This window comes from Homo sapiens, chromosome X (assembly GCF_000001405.40).
Source record: "Homo sapiens chromosome X, GRCh38.p14 Primary Assembly".
Classification (NCBI taxonomy): domain Eukaryota; kingdom Metazoa; phylum Chordata; class Mammalia; order Primates; family Hominidae; genus Homo; species Homo sapiens.
In genome coordinates this window covers 78,202,448-78,221,579 of record NC_000023.11, presented here as the reverse complement: position 1 = coordinate 78,221,579, position 19,132 = coordinate 78,202,448, and the positions used below count along the sequence as shown (strand labels likewise).

Here is a 19,132-nt window from a genome sequence, read left to right as displayed (position 1 = left end):
CATAAGCAGAACTAAAGACAAAAACCACATGATTTATCAATAGATGCAGAAAAGGCTTTCAACAAAATTCAACATGTCTTCATGTTAAAAACTCAATTAAACTAGGTATTGAAGAAACATAACTCAAAATAATAAGAGCCTTCTATCACAAACCCACAGCCAACATTATAATGAATGGGTCAAAGCTGTAAGCATTCTCCTTGGAAACCAGCAAAAGAAAAGGATGCCCTCTTTCACCACTTCTATTCAACATAGTATTGGAAGTCCTGACCAGAGAAATCAGGCAAGAGAAAAAGATAAAGGGCATCCACATTGGAAGAGAGAAACTTAAACTATCCTTGTTTGCAGATGACATTTACATTTTTCTTAAAGATATTTTCTCACTTACCTTATGATTTCTTCTTTCAATCTTGATTTTTTAACATGTGTTAATTTCCATATTTCTGTAGATTTTCCAGGTTTCCTTCTACTATTGATATGTAGTTCCATTCTACTGTGATTGGAAGAGGTAATTTGTGTAATTTTAGTATTTTTTTAACTTGTTAAGACTTGTTTTGTACTGAAACATATGGTCTATCCTGCAGAATGTCCCATGTGCATTTCAGAAAAAATGTATATTCTGTTATTGTTGGGTAGAGTGTTCTGAATGTGTCTGTTAAATCCAATTTGTTTATAGTGTTTGAGTCCTATATTTACTTATTGATGTTCTATCTGGTTGTTCTATCCACTATTGAAAGTAGGACATTAAAATCCACCACTGTTACTGTAGAGTTATTTACTTCTTCCATCGATTCTGCCCATGTTTGTTTCATATATTTGGGAGTGCTAATATTTGGTACATATATGTTTATAATCATAAAATCATCTTGGTGAATTGACACTTTTATCAATATATAATGTCCTTCTGTGTATCACTTTATTTCAACTTAAAGAATTCCTTTTAGCAGTTCTGATAGGGCAGGTCTAGTGGCTATTCATCTCCTCACCTTTTACTTAACAGAGAATTTATTAATTTCTTTCTCATTTTTAAGAACTGTTTTGCCATATAAAGAATTCTCAGTTGACAGGTTTGTTTTTATTTCTATCAGCACTTTAAATATATCATCCCACTGTCTTCTGGCCTCCAAGATTTTTGCTGAAAAATTTGCTGATAATTATATGAAAGATCGCTTGTATATAACAACCTGTTTCTCTTACTGCTTTTAAAATTCCCTGTCTTTGGCCTTTGGCAGTTTGTTTGCAAGTGTTTCAGTGTAGGCCTCTCTGGGTTTATCTTAGTTGGAGTGCATAGAAATTCTTGGATTTCTAGATCCATGTATTTACTCAAATTTGAGAAATTTTCAGCCATTACTTCAAATAATTACTCTTCCTATTTCTGTCACTCTTCTCCTTCAGAGAAAACGGCAATGCCTATATAGGTTGGCTTTATGGTGTCCCATAAGTTTCTTGGGCTCTGTTTACTATTCATTCTTTTTTCTTTTTGCTCTGCATATTCAATAATTGTAAATGTCTTGCCTTCAAGTTCAATGACTCTTTATTCTGTCTGCTTGAGTCTGCAGTTAGACCTCTCCAGGGAATTTTTCAATTCAATTGTAGTATTTTTCAGATTCAGAAATTGTTTGCTTTCTTTTTATAATTGGATATCTTTGAAGATATTCTCCTTTTGTGAATATATCACTTTCCTGATTTCTTTTTGATCCTTATCCGTTTTCTTTTAGCTCCTTGAGCATATATACAACTGCTGTTTTCCCCTCAACAAACTAGGCATTGAGAAAACATACATCAAAATAATAAGGGACATATATGACAAACCCACAGCCAACATCATACTGAATAGGGAAAAGCCAGAAGCATTCCCCGTGAAAACTGGAACAAGACAAGGATGCCCTCTGTCACCACTCCTATTCAACATAGTACTGGAAGTCCAAGCCAGAACAATCAAGCAAGAGAAAAAAAAATAAAAGACATCCAAATAGGAAGAGAGGAAGTCAAACTATTTCTGTTTGCAGGTGATATGATCCAATACCTAGAAAACCCCATGGTTTCTGATAATAAGCTCCTTGATCTGATAAGCCACTTTAGCAAATGTTCAGAATACAAAATTAATGTACAAAAGCAGTATCATTCCTATACACCAACAACATCAAAGCTGAGAGGCAAATATAAATGCAATTCTATTTACAATAGCCAAAAAAAGAATAAAATACCTAGAAATAGACTAATTATAAAACTCTACAATGAGAATTACAAAACACTTCTCAGTGAAATCAGTGATGACACAAACAGATGGATAAACATTCCACGTTCATGGATAGGTAGAATAAATATGTTAAAAGGGCCAAACGGCCAAAAGCAATTTACAGATTCAATGCTATTCCTATCAAAGTACCAATGTCATTCTTCACAGAACTAAAAATAAGTATTCTAAAATTCATACAGAACCAAAAAAGAGCCCAAATACCCAAGACTTTCCTAAGCAGAAAGAACGAAGCTTGAAGTATCACCTTATACAACTTTAAACTATTCTACAATGCTACAGTAACAAAAACAGCATGGTACTGGTACAAAAACAGACACATAGACCAATGTGACAGAAGAGATAGCCCAGATAATGCCACACACCTGCTACCATCTGATCTTTGACAAAATCTACAAAAATAAGCAATGGACAAAGGATTCCCTATTCAATAAATGGTGATGAGATAATTGATTAGCCATATGCAGAAGACTGAAACTGGACCCCTGTTTTATACCATATATAAAATTAACTCAAGATAGATTAAAAACTTAAATCTAAAACCAAAAACTAGAAATACCCTGGAAGATAACCTAGGAAATACCATTTTTGACATAAGACCTAGCAAAGACTTTATGAAAAAGACACCAAAAGTATTTGCAACAAAAATGCACCTTGACAAATGGGACCTAATTAAACTAAAGAGCTTCTGCACAATAAAAGAAACTATCAACAGAATAAACAGACAAGCTAGAGAATGGAGAAAATGTTCACATACTGTGCATCCATTAAAGGACTAATATCCAGAATCTATCAAGAACTTTAACAAATTTACAAGTGAAAAGCAAACAACATGATTAAAAAGTGAGCAAAGGACATGGAAAGACAGTTTTCAAAACAAGGTATTCATGCAGTCGATGAGCATATGAATAAATGCTCAACATCACTAATCATTAGAAAAATTCAAATCAAAATGACAATGAGATACCACCCCCCTCCAGTCAGAATGGCTATTATTAAAATGTCAAAAAATAACAGATGCCAGTGAAGTTGTGGAGAAAAAAGAATGCTTATACACTGCTGGTGGGAATGTAAACTAGTTTAGCCATTGTGGAAAGCAGGTTAGTGATTTCTCAGAAGAACTTAAAACAGAATTACCATTTGACCCAGCAGGACCATTGTTGGGTGTATAGCCAAAGGAATATATTGCTCCCCTGTAAGAAGCAATAATGTTAATTACCCACAGGTTCTGTTGGCTCCAGGCTTTCAGCATTATGTTTGTATTGAATAAAAGCAAAGAAATCCAGCTTATCGGGACTGCTCACTCTTCAGCAATCCCCTAGCTGCTTTTTCACTTCATACTTGTGTCTGAGTACTCCTTTCATCCGTCACTTGGCCAGGGTCTGCAGGATGGACTTGGCAGGTGGTATTCATGTAAGGGATGCTGCAATAGATCGTGACGGAACCCTCAAAAATGAAGGTGAATAGACTGCATAGTCAGTAAGTCATTGGTGCCCACTCGGGATTTCCAAGCTAGAGGGAATTTTCAAGCTAGGGTTTCATCATGGGACAACAGTTATCAGCTCAACAGAAACAGTATACAAAAGTATTGAAACAGCTACTTAAAGCTAGTGGAGTCTCAGTCTCGCAGGCTTAATTAAGGGACCTAATGCAAACTGTTGTTTCCTATAACCCATGGTTCCTGGAAGAAGGCAGGCTAGACCTAGAGCTCTGGGAACAAGTGGGGAGAAATCTTAAACAACATCATGCACAAGGGCAACAGGTCCCAGTAACATATTTAACATTATGGGCCTTAGGGCTGCTTTGGCCCCACTCTATGCAGAAAAGCCTAAAAAGGGAAGAGAGGAGGAACCATCACCTACCTTACTGCCTCCTCCTCCTCCTTCAGCCCTGCCATTACTGGGTAAAGATACCAAAGAGGAAACAGATTTTTCCTGAGCCCCCTCCTCCAATAAATTGGAAAAAAGACAAGGGATACACTACAGTCATGGGACCTTGTCTTAGGCAAGCGGCGTTAGAAGGGGAGCACCTGGCTTGTCGCATGATGCAAGATCAAGAAGGCAATTGGGTACAGAAGCCTATTACTTTTAACACTTATAAGGAAATAAGAAAAGGAGAAAATGGAGCTGCTAGCCAATTTAGGAAAGGTTTAATTGAGGCCATAGCAAATTTTACTGGCTTATTGGATACGGGGGCAGATATTTCGACCATTAGTGATCAAAACTGGCCAGAAACTTGGCCTTGGGTCACTCAGAAACAAAAAATCGTCGGCACTGGGGAAGTACACACAGCCAAGCAGAGCACGTGCCCCCTAACATCTAGTGATTCAGAGGAAAGGAAAGCAGTCATACAACCTCTAATCATGCCCATCGCTGTTAATCTTTGGGTATGGGACTTATTAGCCCAACGGGGGGTCACTCTGCAGACCCCTTTCTGATAATGGCCACTGTTGCAATTCCTCCACTACCCCTAACATGGCTCCCTCAAAATCCTATTTGAGTAGAACAGTGGGCTTTAAAGGGAGAGAAATTACAAAGAGCCCATGAATTAGGGAACAATTAAAAGCCGGCCATATAGAACCATCAAACGTCCCTTGGAATTTGTCCATTTTCGTCATTCCCAAAAAGTCTGGTAAATGGAGACTTTTGCATGACTTATGTGCTATCAATGCTAATTTGCAACCTACGGGACCCCTTCAACAGGGCCTCCCTTCCCCCGTGGTGATTCCTTGAGGTTGGCCTATGGTCATTATTGACTTAAAAGACTGCTTTTATACTATTCCCCTTGCAAAACAGGACAGAGAAAAATTTGCATTTACAATACTAGTTATCAATAATGAAAGGCCAGCTTGCCAATTTCATCGGAAAGTACTTGCTGAGGAATGCTAAATAGTCCTACCATGTGTCAGTATCATGTAAATCAAGCTTTGCTCCCCAGTAGAAAGGAATTTCCTAATTGCAAGATTATCCATTTTATGGATGATATATTACTGGCAGCCACAACAGAGCCAATACTTTTAAATATATATGCCTCTGTCAAAAATAATACACACTTAAGAGGTTTAATCATAGCACCTGAAAAAGTACAGATGTGCTCTCCTTGGAAATATCTTGGATACATACTAACTACTCAGTCAGTGAGACCTCAGAAGGTTAAATTAAATACTAACAACTTACACACTTTAAATGATTATCAAAAATTACTGGGCAATATTAACAGGCTTCACCCCACCTTGGGCATAACTACTAACAGATTACAAAACCTGTTTTGTATCCTAAAGGGCAATGCGGCCCTGAAGTCCCTCAGGTGTTTAACCCCTGCTGCAAAAAGGGTAATTGAGGAAATAGAGCAAGCTATTCCTCAGAGGCAACTAGATCGCATAGACCCATGATATTCGGTCCAATTGTTTGTTTTTCCTAATAAACATTCCCCAACAGGATTAATAGGACAGATGGCCCCAGGGCTATGCTTCCTAGAATGGGTTTTTTGCTCTCATACCAGGACTAAAACACAATCTCCCTATGTCCAGCTAGTTAGTAAAGTCATCTATACAGGCCACAGATGATGCAATCAATTGCTAGGTTATGACTCTGATATCATAAGAAGTCCCTTAAGTAAAAAACAATTCGAAGCAGTCCTGCTCCTATCTCTAGAGCTGCAAATAGCACTCTGATTATGTGGTCCTTGTAGAACATGCCCTTCCCACTGACAAACTACTCCAGTTCTTACGTCGTACTCCTGTAGTTATGCCTACAAAGGTAGCACACTCTCCCATACCTAATGCTTTAACACTTTTTACTGATGGCTCTGGGAAAAATAGAAAAGCAGCTATCTGGTGGGAACCACATAACTCCCTCACTTGATCTGGATTTACTAGTACTCAAAGAGCTGAGGTTGGAGTCCTAATATTGGCCCTAGAAAACTTTTCTGCTCAGCCCATCAATATTGTTAGTGACTCTCCTTACCCCGTTTATTTATTGCAGAACCTAGAAACAGCCCTCATTAAGTCCACTCTTGAGCCCACCCTGTGTGCACTTTTTCTTTGACTTCAGCAATTGCTAGATCAACGTACACATCCTATTTTTATTACACACATTTGGGCCCACAGCTCACTGCCTGGCCCACTGGCTTATGGCAATGATCAAGCAGATCTGCAGGTTATGATATCACTGCTTGACCAAGCCACCCAATCACATCAATTCTTCCACCAAAACTGGAGAAATTTATCTAAACAATTTCAACTTACCCAAGGACTAGCTAAACAAATTATTTTCCAATGCCCAGATTGCCAGCTCACAGGCACGTCCCCTCCTTCAACAGGTGTTAACCCTAGAGGACTAGAACCTAATCAGTTATGGCAAACATGTTACGCACATCCCTGAATTTGGAAAACTAAGATATGTACATGTATTCACTGATACCTATTCCCACCTAATTAGCACCCATGCTCTTCCTGGAGAGTCCACCCAATATGTCATTAAACATCTTCTCTTAACATTTGCATTTATGGGGCAGCCCACAAAAATTAAAACTGTTAATGATTTGGCTTATGCCAGCTCACAATTTCACCAATTTTGTCACACGTGGAACATCCAACATTCCACAGGCATCCTGTATAACCCCCAAGGACAGGCCATAGTAAAATGTGTCCACTCCACCCTTAAAAATATGCTCAGAAAACAAAAAAGGGGGACTGTGAGTAAGGACCCTGCAACACTATTGGCACAAGACTTATTTACCCTTAATTTTTTAAATTTAGATGATAAATTTCAATCAGCCATAGAAAAGCACTTTGCAAAAATCACTCAAGATATAAAACCTTCAGTGCTATAGAGTGATGTAAATAGTAATGAATGGTGTGGCCCAAATGATTTGCTAATGTGGGGAAGAGGATATGTTTGTGTTCACACCCCCTCAGGTCCTCTTTGGATTCCAGTACCATGCATCAAACCTTACCATAGTGTGGCTAAGACCCAACCCGATACCAGAAATGAAGGAAATGACCCTGCAGAACCTGCAGCTCCAGATGATGTGGCTTCCTCGGACAACAAAGGCCCCAGACATTATGCTGAAGACAACTCAGGAGGCTAAGTGAATCCTGCTCTAGACACAGACACCATTCACTGCAGATAATTTGTTCCTTGCTATGCTTTCTGTTTTACATTGCAACCCTCATAGGGTATTAACCTTTTTTAATTATCTCACTTTGCCTGCTACCAGTACCTGCTACTCTATTAGGCCCATCTTCTAGATCTGCTTTCCTTATGCTGAGTTCCTGAGTGAACACCCCCTTCCTAGCCTCTAATAAGGTAACTACTTGGCTATGAGGGATTGACATACCCCCAGTGGGGCTCCTTAGTAAGGGCACACATTGGACTGAGGTGCCAAGTAACATTACATATCACTCCTTAATTGGAAAAAAACTAATGCTGATTATATTCATGTTTGTCTCATGTTATCTACTAATTTTAAGATGCAAAGCCAGAAAATAAGCTGTAACTGCTACACCTGACAAACCTGTTGCTGCACACATCTGTACTCTTCAATCAACAAGACCTGATGAAAAAAAGGAGGGGGGGAGATGTGGGGAATCGGTTAGAGTGCTGGAAGAAGCTATAGGGAAAGAAGCAGGCCTCTTGAAAGGTTAGAAGGTTCTGCAAAGCTTTTTGGGAGAATAAGCTGAAGGCAACTGTTCTCTTACCCTGAGGCAGAGGGCGAGAAGTAGGTGCAAGGAAATGTAGAGGAGTTTATCTAAATAGCCTTGTTTACTTATCTTGTCTGGGAACTGACCTTTGACCATCAGTGTGCGAGACTGCTCCCTGTAAGGGGGAGCGATAATGTTAATTACCCACAGATTGTGTTGGCTCCAGGCTTTTGGCATTATGCCTGTACTGAATAAAAGCAAAGAGCTCCTGCTTATTGGGACTGCTCACTCTTCAGCAGTTCCCTAGCCACTTTGTCACTGTATACCTGTGTCTGAGTACTCCTTTCATTCGTAGCTTGGCCAAGGTCTGTGAGATGGACCCGGCATAAAGTCATCATTAGTTTTATTTTTGGCTGTTTGTTTGCTTATACAAACAGTGCTAAGTTTTGTTTTGTTTTGTTTCATTTTGGGGGTTTGAGGGCTTTTTTTTCAAAGCTTCCCTGAAGAAAAAGTGTTAAACTGTTGTCAGCTTAAAATAATAAGATAATATTTGTGAGCCTCACGGTAACCACAAATCAAGAAACATAGAACAAATGCAAAATAACAAGAAAATAAATCATATCACCAGAGAAAATTGCCTTCACTAAAAGGAAAACAGAAAGAAAAGAAAGAAGAAAGAAAAGAACACAAAACAACCAGAAAACATATGGTGAAATTGCAGGAGTAAATGCTTACTTAATAATAATATTAAATGTAAAGGGACTAAACTCTCCAATCAAAAGACAAAGAGTGGCTGAATGGATAAAAACACGAGACCTATTGATCTGTTGCCTACAAGAAATATACTTCATCTATAAAATATATAGAGACCACAAATAAAAGAATAGAAAACTATATTCCATGCCAATGGAAACAAAAAAAAAGAGCAGGAGTAGCTATACTTATATCAGGAAAAATAGATTTCAAGAAAAAGACTATAAGAAGAGACAAAGAAGGTCACTATGTAATGACAAGAACTAATACCAATCGTACTGAAACTATTCTGTAAAATAGAAGAGAAGCAAATGCTTTCAAACTCATTGTAGGAGGCCAGAATTACCCTGACCTTAATACCAAAGACACGTCAAATAAAGAAAACTGAAGGCCAATATTTGTGATGAATATTGATGCAAAATCCTCAATAAAGTATGAGCAAACCAAATTCAACAATACATTAGAAAGATCATTCATTATGACCAAGTGGAATTTATCCTAGGGATACAAGGATAGTTCAACATATGCAAATCAAGCAATGTTGTATGTCTTATCAATAGAATGAAGAACAAAAACCATTTATTTCAACTGATGCTGAAAAAGGTTTTGATATATTCGACATCCCTTGATAATATAAAAGATCCTCTCAAAAATACTGGACAGAGAACATACCTCAACATAATAAAATTCATGTATGACATACCTATAGCTAGTATCATACTGAATGGGGAAAAACTGAAAGTCTTGCCTCTAATATCTGCAACAGAACAAGGATGCCCACTTTTACCACTGTTATTCAACATAGTAGTGGAAGTCCTAGCTAGAACATTCAGACAAAATAAATAAATAAAGGACATCCAAAGTGGAAAAGAAGAAGTCAAATTATTCTTGTTTGCAGATAATATAATCTTATGTTTGGTAACATCTAAAGACTCCACCAAAAAACTATTAGAACTAATAAACTATTAATAATTCAGTAAAGTTGCAGGTACAAAATCAGCATACAAAAACCAATAGCATTGCTATATGTCCACAGTGAACAATGTGAAAAAATAATCCCATTTGCAATGACTACAAATAAAATTAAATATCTAGTAATAACTTAAACTGAATGATTCCCCATAATAAAAATTATAAAACACTGATGAAAGAAATTAAAGAGGACACCAAAAAGTGAACAGATATTCTATTTTCATTGATTCAAAAAAATAATATTGTTAAAATGTCTACATTACCAAAAGCAATCTACAGATTCAGTGCAATCCCTATCAAAATACCAAAGACATTCTTCACAGACATAGAAAAAAAATCCTGAAATTTATATAGAACCACAAAAGACTTAGAATAGCCAAAGTTATCCTAAGAAAAAATAACAAAACTGGAGGAACTACATTACCTGACTTCAAATTATACTGCAGAGCTATAGTCACCAAAACAGCATGGTATTAGCATAAAAACAGAGACACAGACCAATAGAACAGAAAAGAGAACCCAGAAACAAATCCACTCACCTACAGAAACTCACTTTTTATGAAGGTGGCAAAAATATACACTGAGGAAAAGACAGTCTCTTCAATAAATGGTTCTGGGAAAACTAGATATCCATATGCAGAAGAATGAAGCTGGACTCCTATCTCTCACCATACTAAAAAAAATCAAAATGGATTAAAGACTTAAGTTTAAGACTTCAAACTATAAAACTGCTACAAGAAAACATTGGGGGGACTCTCCATGACATCAGTCTGAGCAAAAATTTCTTGAGCAATACCCCCACAAACACAGGCAACCAAAGCAAAAATGGGCAAATGCGATCACAACAATTTAAAAAGCTTCTGAATAGCAAAGGATGCAATCAACAAACTGAAGAGACAACCCACACAATGGGAGAAAATACTAGCAAACTACCCATCTGACAAGGGATTAAAGGGGATTAATAACCTGAATATCAAATTATTTCTTATCAACTCTATAGGAAATAATCTAATAATCTGATCAAAAAATGGGCAAAAGATCTGAATAAACATTTCTTCAAAAGAAAACATATAAATTGCAAACAGGTATATGAAAAGGTGCTAAACATCATTGGTCATCAGAAAAATGCAAATCAAAAGTACAATGAGATAGTATCTCAGCCCAGTTAAAATTGCTTATATACAAAAGACAGGCAATAACAAATGCTGGTGAGGATGCGGAGGGAAAAAATAAAACCCTTTTACACTGTTGGTGGAAATGTAAATTTGTACAACCGCTATGGAGAACAGTTTGGAGGTTCCAAAAAAATCTGAAAATAAAGTTATCATATGTTCCAGTAATCCCACTGCTGAGTATATACCCAAAAGAAAAAAAAATCAGTATATCAAAGATGCGTCTACACTCCCATGTTTACTGAAGCACTATTCACAACAGGCAAGATTTGGAAGCAACCTAATTGTCCATAAACAGATGAATGGATAAATAAAATGTGGTACTTATACACAGCAAAGTACTATTAAGCCATAAAAAAAATGAGATCTTATCATTTGCAATGACATAGATGGAACAAGAGGTCACTATGTTAAGTGAAACAAGCCAAAGACAGAAAAACAAATATGGCATATTTTGATTTATTTATGGGATAAGAAAATAAAAAAATTAAACTCATGGAGATAGAGAGTAGGTGGATGGTTATCAGAGATGGGAAATGGTAGTTAGGGTGGGGGAAAGGTGAGGATCATAATGTGCACAAAAAAATAGTTAGAAGGGATGAAGACCTGCTGTCTGCTAGCACAACAGGATAACTATAGTCACATACACAATTAAACAACAATTTAATTGTGCATTTTAAAATTTTATTTTAAGTTCTGGGATACATGTGCAGGACGTACAGGTTTGTTACACAGGTAAACGTTTGCCATGGTGGTTTGCTGTACCCATCAACCCATCACCTAGGTATTAAGCACCGCAGGCATTAGCTATTTATCCTGATGCTCTCCCTCCCCCCAACCCCCTGACAGGCCCCAGTGCGTGTTGTTCCCCTCCCTGTGTCCATGCTTTCTCATTTGTCAGCTCCCACTTGTAAGTGAGAACACAGGGTGTATGGTTTTCTGTTCCTGTGTTAGTTTGCTAAGAATAATAACCCTCAGCTCCATCCATGTCCCTGCAAAGGACATAATCTCAGTCCTTTTTATGGCTGCATAGTATTCCATGGTGTATATGTGCCACATTTTCTTTATCCAGTCTATCATTCATGGGCATTTGGGTTGATTCCATGTCTTTGCTATTGTGAATAATGCTGCAATTAACATATGCATGCATGTATCTTTATAATAGAATAATTTATATTTCTTTGGGTATATACATGGTAATGGGATTGCTGGGTCAAATGGTATTTCTGCTTCTAGGTCTTTGAGGACTCACCACACTGTCTTCCAAAATGGTTGAACTAATTTACATTCCCACCAACAGTGTAAAAGCATTCCTATTTCTCCACAGCCTAGCAGCATCTGTTGTTTCTTGACTTTTTAATAATCGCCATTCTGACTGGCATGAGATGATATCTCAATGTGGTTTTGATTTGCATTGCTCTAATGATCAGTGATATTAAGCTTTTTTTCATATGTTTGTTAGCCACATGAATGTCCTCTTTAGAGAAGTGTCTGTTCATGTCCTTTGCCCACTTTTAACGGAGTTTTTTCTTGTAAATATGTTTAAGTTCCTAATAGATTCTGGATATTAGACCTTTGTCAGATGCATAGATTACAAAAATTTTCTCACATTGGCTAGGTTGTCTGTTCACTCTGATGATAGTTTCCTTTGCTGTGCAAAAGCTCTTTAACTTAATTAGATCCCTTTGTAAATTTTGGCTTTTGTTGTCATGCTTTTGAGGTTTTTGTCATAAAATATTTGCCTGTGCCTATGTCCTGAATAGTATTGCCTAGATTTTCTTCTAAGGTTTTTATAGTTTGGAGGTTTTTTTATTATTATTATTATACATTAAGTTCTGGGATACATGTGCAGAACATGCAGGTTTGTTATATAAGTATACACGTACCATAGTGGTTTGCTGCACCCATGAACCCATCATCTACATTAGGTATTTCTCCTAATGTTCTCCCTCCCATAGCCCCCCACCCCCAACCAGCTCCAGTGTGTGATGTTCCCCTCCCTGTGTCCACGTGTTCTCATTTTTCAACTCCCACTTATGAGTGAGAACATACTCTGTTTGGTTTTCTGTTCCTGTGTTAGTTTGCTGAAAATGATGGTTTTCAGCTTCATCAATGTCCCTTGCAAGGGCTTGAACTCATCCTTTATTATGGCTGCATAGTATTCCATGGTGCATGTGTGCCACATTTTCTTTATCCAGTCTATCATTGATGGAAATTTGGGTTGGTTTGAAGTCTTTGCTATTGTGAGTAGTGCTGCAATAAACATACGTGTGCACGTGTCTTTATAGTAGAATGATTTATAATCCTTTGGGTATATACCCAGTAATGGGACTGCTGGGTCAAATGGTATTTCTGGCTCAAGATCCTTGAGGAATCACCACACTGTCTTCCACAATGGTTGAACTAATTTAGACTCCCACCAACAATGTAAAAGCATTCCTATTGGCCGGGCGTGGTGGCTCATGCCTGTAACTCCACCACTTTGGGAGGCCAAGGCGGGCGGATCATGAGGTCAGGAGATCAAGACCATCCTGGCTAACATGGTGAAACCCTACTACTAAATAATACAAAAAATTAGCCAGGCATGGTGGCAGGTGCCTGTAGTCCCAGCTACTCGGGAGGCTGAAGCAGGAGAATGGCGTGAACCCGGGAGGCAGAGTTTGCAGTGAGCCAAGATCATGCCACTGCACTCCAGCCTGGATGACAGAGCGAGACTCTGTCTCATGACGAGTTAATGGGTGCAGCACACCAACATGGCACACATATACATATGTAACTAACCTGCACGTTGTGCACATGTACCCTAAAACTTAAAGTATAATAAAAAAATAAAATAAAATACATCTATATTTATATAACAAAAAAATAAAAAGCATTCCTATTTCTCCACATCCTCTCCAGTATCTGCTGTTTCCTCACTTTTTAATGATTGCCATTCTAACTGGTGTGAGATGGTATCTCATTGTGGTTTTGATTTGCATTTCTCTGATGACCAGTGATAATGAGCATTTTTTCATGTGTCTGTTGGCTGCATAAATGTCTTGTTTTGAGAAGTGTCTGTTCATATCCTTCGCCCACTTTCTGATGGGGTTGTTTGATTTTTTTCTTGCAAATTTGTTTAAGTTCTTTGTAGATGCTGGATATTAGCTCTTTGTCAGATGAATAGATTGCAAAAAATTTCTCCCATTATGTATGTTGCCTATTCCTGCTGATGATGGTTTCTTTCACTGTACAGAAGTTCTTTATTGTCATTAGATCCCATTTGTCAATTTTGGCTTTTGTTGCTATTGCTTTAGATGTTTTAATGATGAAGTCTTTGCCCATGTATATGCCCTGAATGGTACTGCCTAGGTTTTCTTCTGGGGTTTTTATGGTTTTAGGTCTTACATTTAAGTCACTAATCCATCTTGAGTTAATTTTTGTATAAGTTGTAAGGAAGAGATCCAGTTTCATTTTTCTACACATGGGTAGCCAGTTTTCCCAACAAAATTTATTAAATAGGGAATCCTTTCCCCATTGCTTGTTTTTGTCAGGTCTGTCAAAGATCAGATGGTTGTAGATGTATGGCGTTATTTCTGAGGGCTCTGTTCTGTTCCATTGGTCTATATATCTGTTTTGGTACCAGTACCATGCCATTTTGGTTACTGTAGCCTTGTAGTATAGTTTGAAGTCAGGTAGTGTGATGCCTCCAGCTTTATTCTTTTTGCTTAGGATTGTCTTGGCTATACAGGCTCTTTGTTGGTTCCATATGAACTTTAAAGTAGTTTTTTCTAACTCTGTGAAGAAAGTCAATGGTAGCTTGATGAGGATAGCATTGAATCTATAAATTACTTTGGCAGTATGGCCATTATCATAATACTGATTCTTCCTATCCATGAGCTTGGAATGTTTTTCCATTTGTTTGTGTCCACTCTTATTTCCTTGAGCAGTGGTTTGTAGTACTCCTTGAAGAGTTCCTTTACTTCCCTTATAAGTTGTACTCCTAGGTATTTTATTCTCTTAGTAGCAATTGTGAATGGCAGTTCACTCATGATTTGGCACTCTGTTTATCTATTATTGGTGTATAGGAATGCTTGTGATTTTTGCACATTGATTTTGTATCCTGAGACTTTGCTGAAGTTGCTTATCAGCTTAAGGAGATTTTGGGCTGAGACGATGGGTTTCCTAAATATACAATCATGTCATCTGCAAACAAGAGACAATTTGACTTCCCCTCGTTCTAGTTCAATGCACTTTATTTCTTTCTCTTGCCAATTGCCCTGGCCAGAACTTCCAGTACTATGTTGAATAGGAGTGGTGAGAGAGGGCATCCTTGTCTTGTGCTGGTTTTCAAAGGGAATGCTCCCAGCTTTCGCCCATCCAGTGTGATATTGGCTGTGGGTTTGTCATAAATAGCTCTTATTATTTTGAGATACTTTCCATCAATACCTAGTTTCTTGAGAATTTTTAGCATAAGAAGGTGTTGAATTTTATCAAAGACCTTTTCTGCATCTGTTGAGATAATCATGTGGGTTTTGTCATTGTTTCTGTTTTTGTAACGGTTTACATTTATTGATTTGTGTATGTTGAAACAGCTTTGCATCCCAGGGATAAAGCTGAGTTGATCATGGTGGCTAAGCTTTTTGATTTGCTACTGGATTCGGTTTGCAAGTATTTTATTTAAGACTTTTGCATCAGTGTTCATCAGGGATATTGGCCTGAAATTTTCTTTTTTGTTGTGGCTCTGCCAGGCTTTGGTATCAGGATGATGATGGCCTTGTAAAATGAGTTAGGGAGGATTCCCTCTTTTTCTATTGTTTGGAATAGTTTCAGAAGGAATGGTACCAGGTCCTCTTCATACCTCTGGTAGAATTTGGCTGTGAATCTATCTGATCCTGAGCCCTTTTTGTTGGTAGGCTATTAATTACTGCCTCAATTTCAGAACTTGTTATTGGTCTATTCATGCATTCGAATTTTTCCTGGTTTAGTCTTGGGAGGGTGTATGTGTCCAGGAATTTATCCATTTCTTCTAGATTTTCTAGTTTATTTGTGTAGAGGTGTTTATAGTATTCTCTGGTGGTAGTTTATATTTCTGTGGGATCAGTGGTGACATCCCCTTTATCATTTTTTATTGTGTCGATTTGATTATTCTCTCTTTTCTTCTTTATTAGTCTGGCTAATGTTCTATTTTGTTAATCTTTTTAAAAAACCAGCTCCTGGATTCATTGCTTTTTTATGAAGGGCTTTTCATGTCTTCAATCAATCGTAGGTTTGGGCGTTTTATGAATTCCCATATTTCTTGAAGGCTTTGTTCATTCCTTTTCATTCTTTTTTTCTCTACTCTTGTCTCCATGTCTTATTTCAGTAAGATGGTCTTCAAACTCTGATATACTTTCTTCTGCTTGGTCATTTTGGCTGTTGATACTTGTGTATCCTTCAAGAAGTCCTTGTGCTGTGGTGCTGTGTTTTTCAGCTCCATCTGGTCATTTATGTTCCTCTCTAAACTGGTTATTTTAATTAGCAATTCCTCCAACCTTTTATCAAGGTTCGTAGTTTCTTTGCATTGGGTTAAAACATGCTCCTTTAACTCATCATAGTTTTTTATTATCCATCTTCTGAAACCTACCTCTGTCAATTTGTCAATCTGATCCCCTGTCCAGTTCTGTGCCCTTGATGGAGAGATGTTGCCATCATTTGGAGAAAAGGCACTCTGGACTTTTAGGTTTTCAGCATTTTTTCGTTGATGCTTTCTCATCTTCATGAGATTGTCTAGTTTTGGTTTTTGAGGCTGCGGACCCTTGGATGGGGTTTTGTGTGGGCCCGTGTGTTGTTGTTGTTGATGCTGTTGTTGTTGCTTTCTGCTTGTTTGTTTTTTTTTTCTTCAGTAGTCAGGTTCCTCTTCCATAGGGCTGCTGCAGTTTGCTAGGTGTTCACTTCAGGCCCTATTCATCTGATTCACTCCCGTGCCTGGAGATGTCACTTAAGAAGGCTGGAAAACAGCAAAGATGGGTGCCTGCTTTTCTTCTGGGATATCTGACCTTGAGGGGCACCAACCTGATGCCAGTAGGATTGCTCTTGTATAGGGTGTCTGACAACCCCTGTTGGAGGGTCTCACACAGTTGGGTGGCACAGGGAGTAGGAGATAGGAACAATAGGCACTGGGGACTACTAGAGGGGAGAAGAAGCGAGGGGGCAAGGGTTGAAAAAGTACTCGTTGGGTACTATGCTCAATATCTGGGTAACGGGATCATTCGAAACCCAAACCTCAGCATCACACAATATACCCATGTAACAAATCTGCACATGGACTCTCTGAATCTAAAATAAAAGTTGTAATTATTTAAAAATTACCTATTGTGTATAATCTTCACTATTTGGGTGACGAGTACACTGGAAGCCCAAACCTCATCATTATGCAATATATCCATCTAACAAACTTGAACTCGTACCCCTTGAATCTAAAATTTTTTTAAAAAGAGAAAAATAATAAAAGGCAGCATAATCATGGTTTCATATATTATTTTGCCCTTAACGGGGGGAAATTCTGTGATTTGCCTCAAAATGGATGAATCTCTAGGACATTATGCTAAGTAACATAAGCCAGGCACAGAAAGACAAATGCTGCATGATCTCACTCATATGCGGAATTTAATAAAGCTGAACTCATAGAAGTAGAGAGTAGAATGATGGTTACCAGAAGCTGGAGGATAGGGAGGGAGTGAATGGGGAGTTGTTGATGAAAGGGTGCAACGTTTCAGATGGACAGCAAGAACAGGGTTTAAGATCTGTACACCAGGGTGATTATAGTCAATAATATTGTATTGCATATTTTGAAATAATTAAATTGGCAAATTTCAAATGTCTTACCATAAAAAGATAGGTAAGTGTGGTGACAAATATGTTAATTAGCTTGATTTAAGCGTTCTGCATTTTATGCATATGTCAAAGCATCACATGGTACCTTATAAATGTATATATTTATGATTTGTTAATAAAAGTATTAATTTAGAAAAGAATTTAAACTTAAGGGTACAAAGAAGAAAAGAGGAAACGAAAGTAGAAAATGACACATTAATATTAAAAATGGACTGAGATTCCTAACCATTAAGATGTTTATTCATTGGCAACAAAACCAAACTCTTGATCTTACCTTTATCTGCATTATTTGGTGATGGTCACTTGTTTTGTTTTCCACTTGGTTTCTGCTTGATTTCTTCACCTCCTATAGCACTCTGTTTCTTTCTATGTCTAGTCTCAATCTCAGTACTGGCAGTGTTGGAGTACTGAGAGCATTACCAATGTCAGAAGTGTTGGGAGCATTTTCAGAGATGGAAGTGTTGGGAGCACTGTGAGAAGCGGAAGAGCTTGGCGTACTGTCAAAACTTGATGGTCTGCGAGTACTATCAGATGATCTGGGAGTTCTGTCAGAGGTGGCAGTCTTGGGAGTATGATTAGTGCTAGAAGGGTTCAGAATGCCATCAGAGGTAGCAGGGCTCAGAGTAGTGTCTGAGATGGAAATGCTAGGGACATGGTCAATGGAAGAACTGCTGGGAGCTTTGTCAGCAATGTTAGTGCTTGGAGGGCTGTGAGCAGTGTAAGTACTGGGAGTATTGTCAGTGTAAATGTTTACATTGCTCGCAGTGTAGGTACCTGGAGTATTGTCCACAGTGTAAGCATTCAAAGTATTGTTCACAGTGTAGGTGCTCAAAGTATTGTCAACAGTGTAGGTGCTTGGAGCATTGTCCACAGACTAAGTGCTTGAAGTGTTGTCAACAGTGTAGGTGGTTGGAGCATAGTTAACATTGCTTGGAGTACCAGAAATATTGAAAAAATCATTAGTTTTGTTCACAAGTAAAGAAGTGTTGTTAGCCACATAGCTATTCCTTTGTCCACCAACTTCTCTAGTTTTTTTTCTTCATATGTTCTCCCATTTTAGCAGCTCTTTCATCGAGTTGGTTATAATTTGCTATTCCATGGGAATAGGTTTCTAAAAGAGAAAATGGAATTCTGTTTAATAACTATAATAATTACATATCTCAAGGCTTTTGTTTTTAGAGACAGGGTCTCACTCTGTCACCCAGGCTGGAGTGCAGTGGCGCAATGTCAGCTCACTGCAAGCTCCGCCTCCCAGGTTCACGCCATTCTCCTGCCTCAGCCTCCCGAGTAACTGGGGCTACAGAAAAGAGGTTATTTTTTGACAATAGATAATATATTGACATGGTTCAAAACCATAAAGTATAAATAAGTGTATGATTAAAAGTTTCCCGGCAGGGTGCCATGGCTCACGCCTGTAATCCTAGCACTTTGGGAGGCCGAGGTGGGCGGATCACCTAAGGTAAGGAGTTTGAGACCAAC

General features: G+C 38.0%; 1 long non-coding RNA gene across 1 annotated transcript, besides 1 other annotated feature; it reads right to left on the bottom strand.

The window, feature by feature from the left end:
* Positions 1 to 406: 406 nt before the first annotated feature.
* LOC107985669 (uncharacterized) lies at positions 407 to 18,017 on the bottom strand. Its single transcript, XR_001755899.2, has 2 exons — positions 17,928 to 18,017; positions 407 to 493 (listed from the first exon to the last, which is right to left on the bottom strand). It is a non-coding gene; the product is annotated as an uncharacterized LOC107985669 (long non-coding RNA).
* Positions 7,981 to 8,181: a silencer, noted in NCBI's record as "peak7397 fragment used in MPRA reporter construct". NCBI's record gives its function as "represses an SCP1 promoter by STARR-seq MPRAs in K562 erythroleukemia cells {active_cell/tissue: K562}" and the evidence as "EXISTENCE:reporter gene assay evidence [ECO:0000049][PMID:32103011]".
* Positions 18,018 to 19,132: the final 1,115 nt, after the last annotated feature.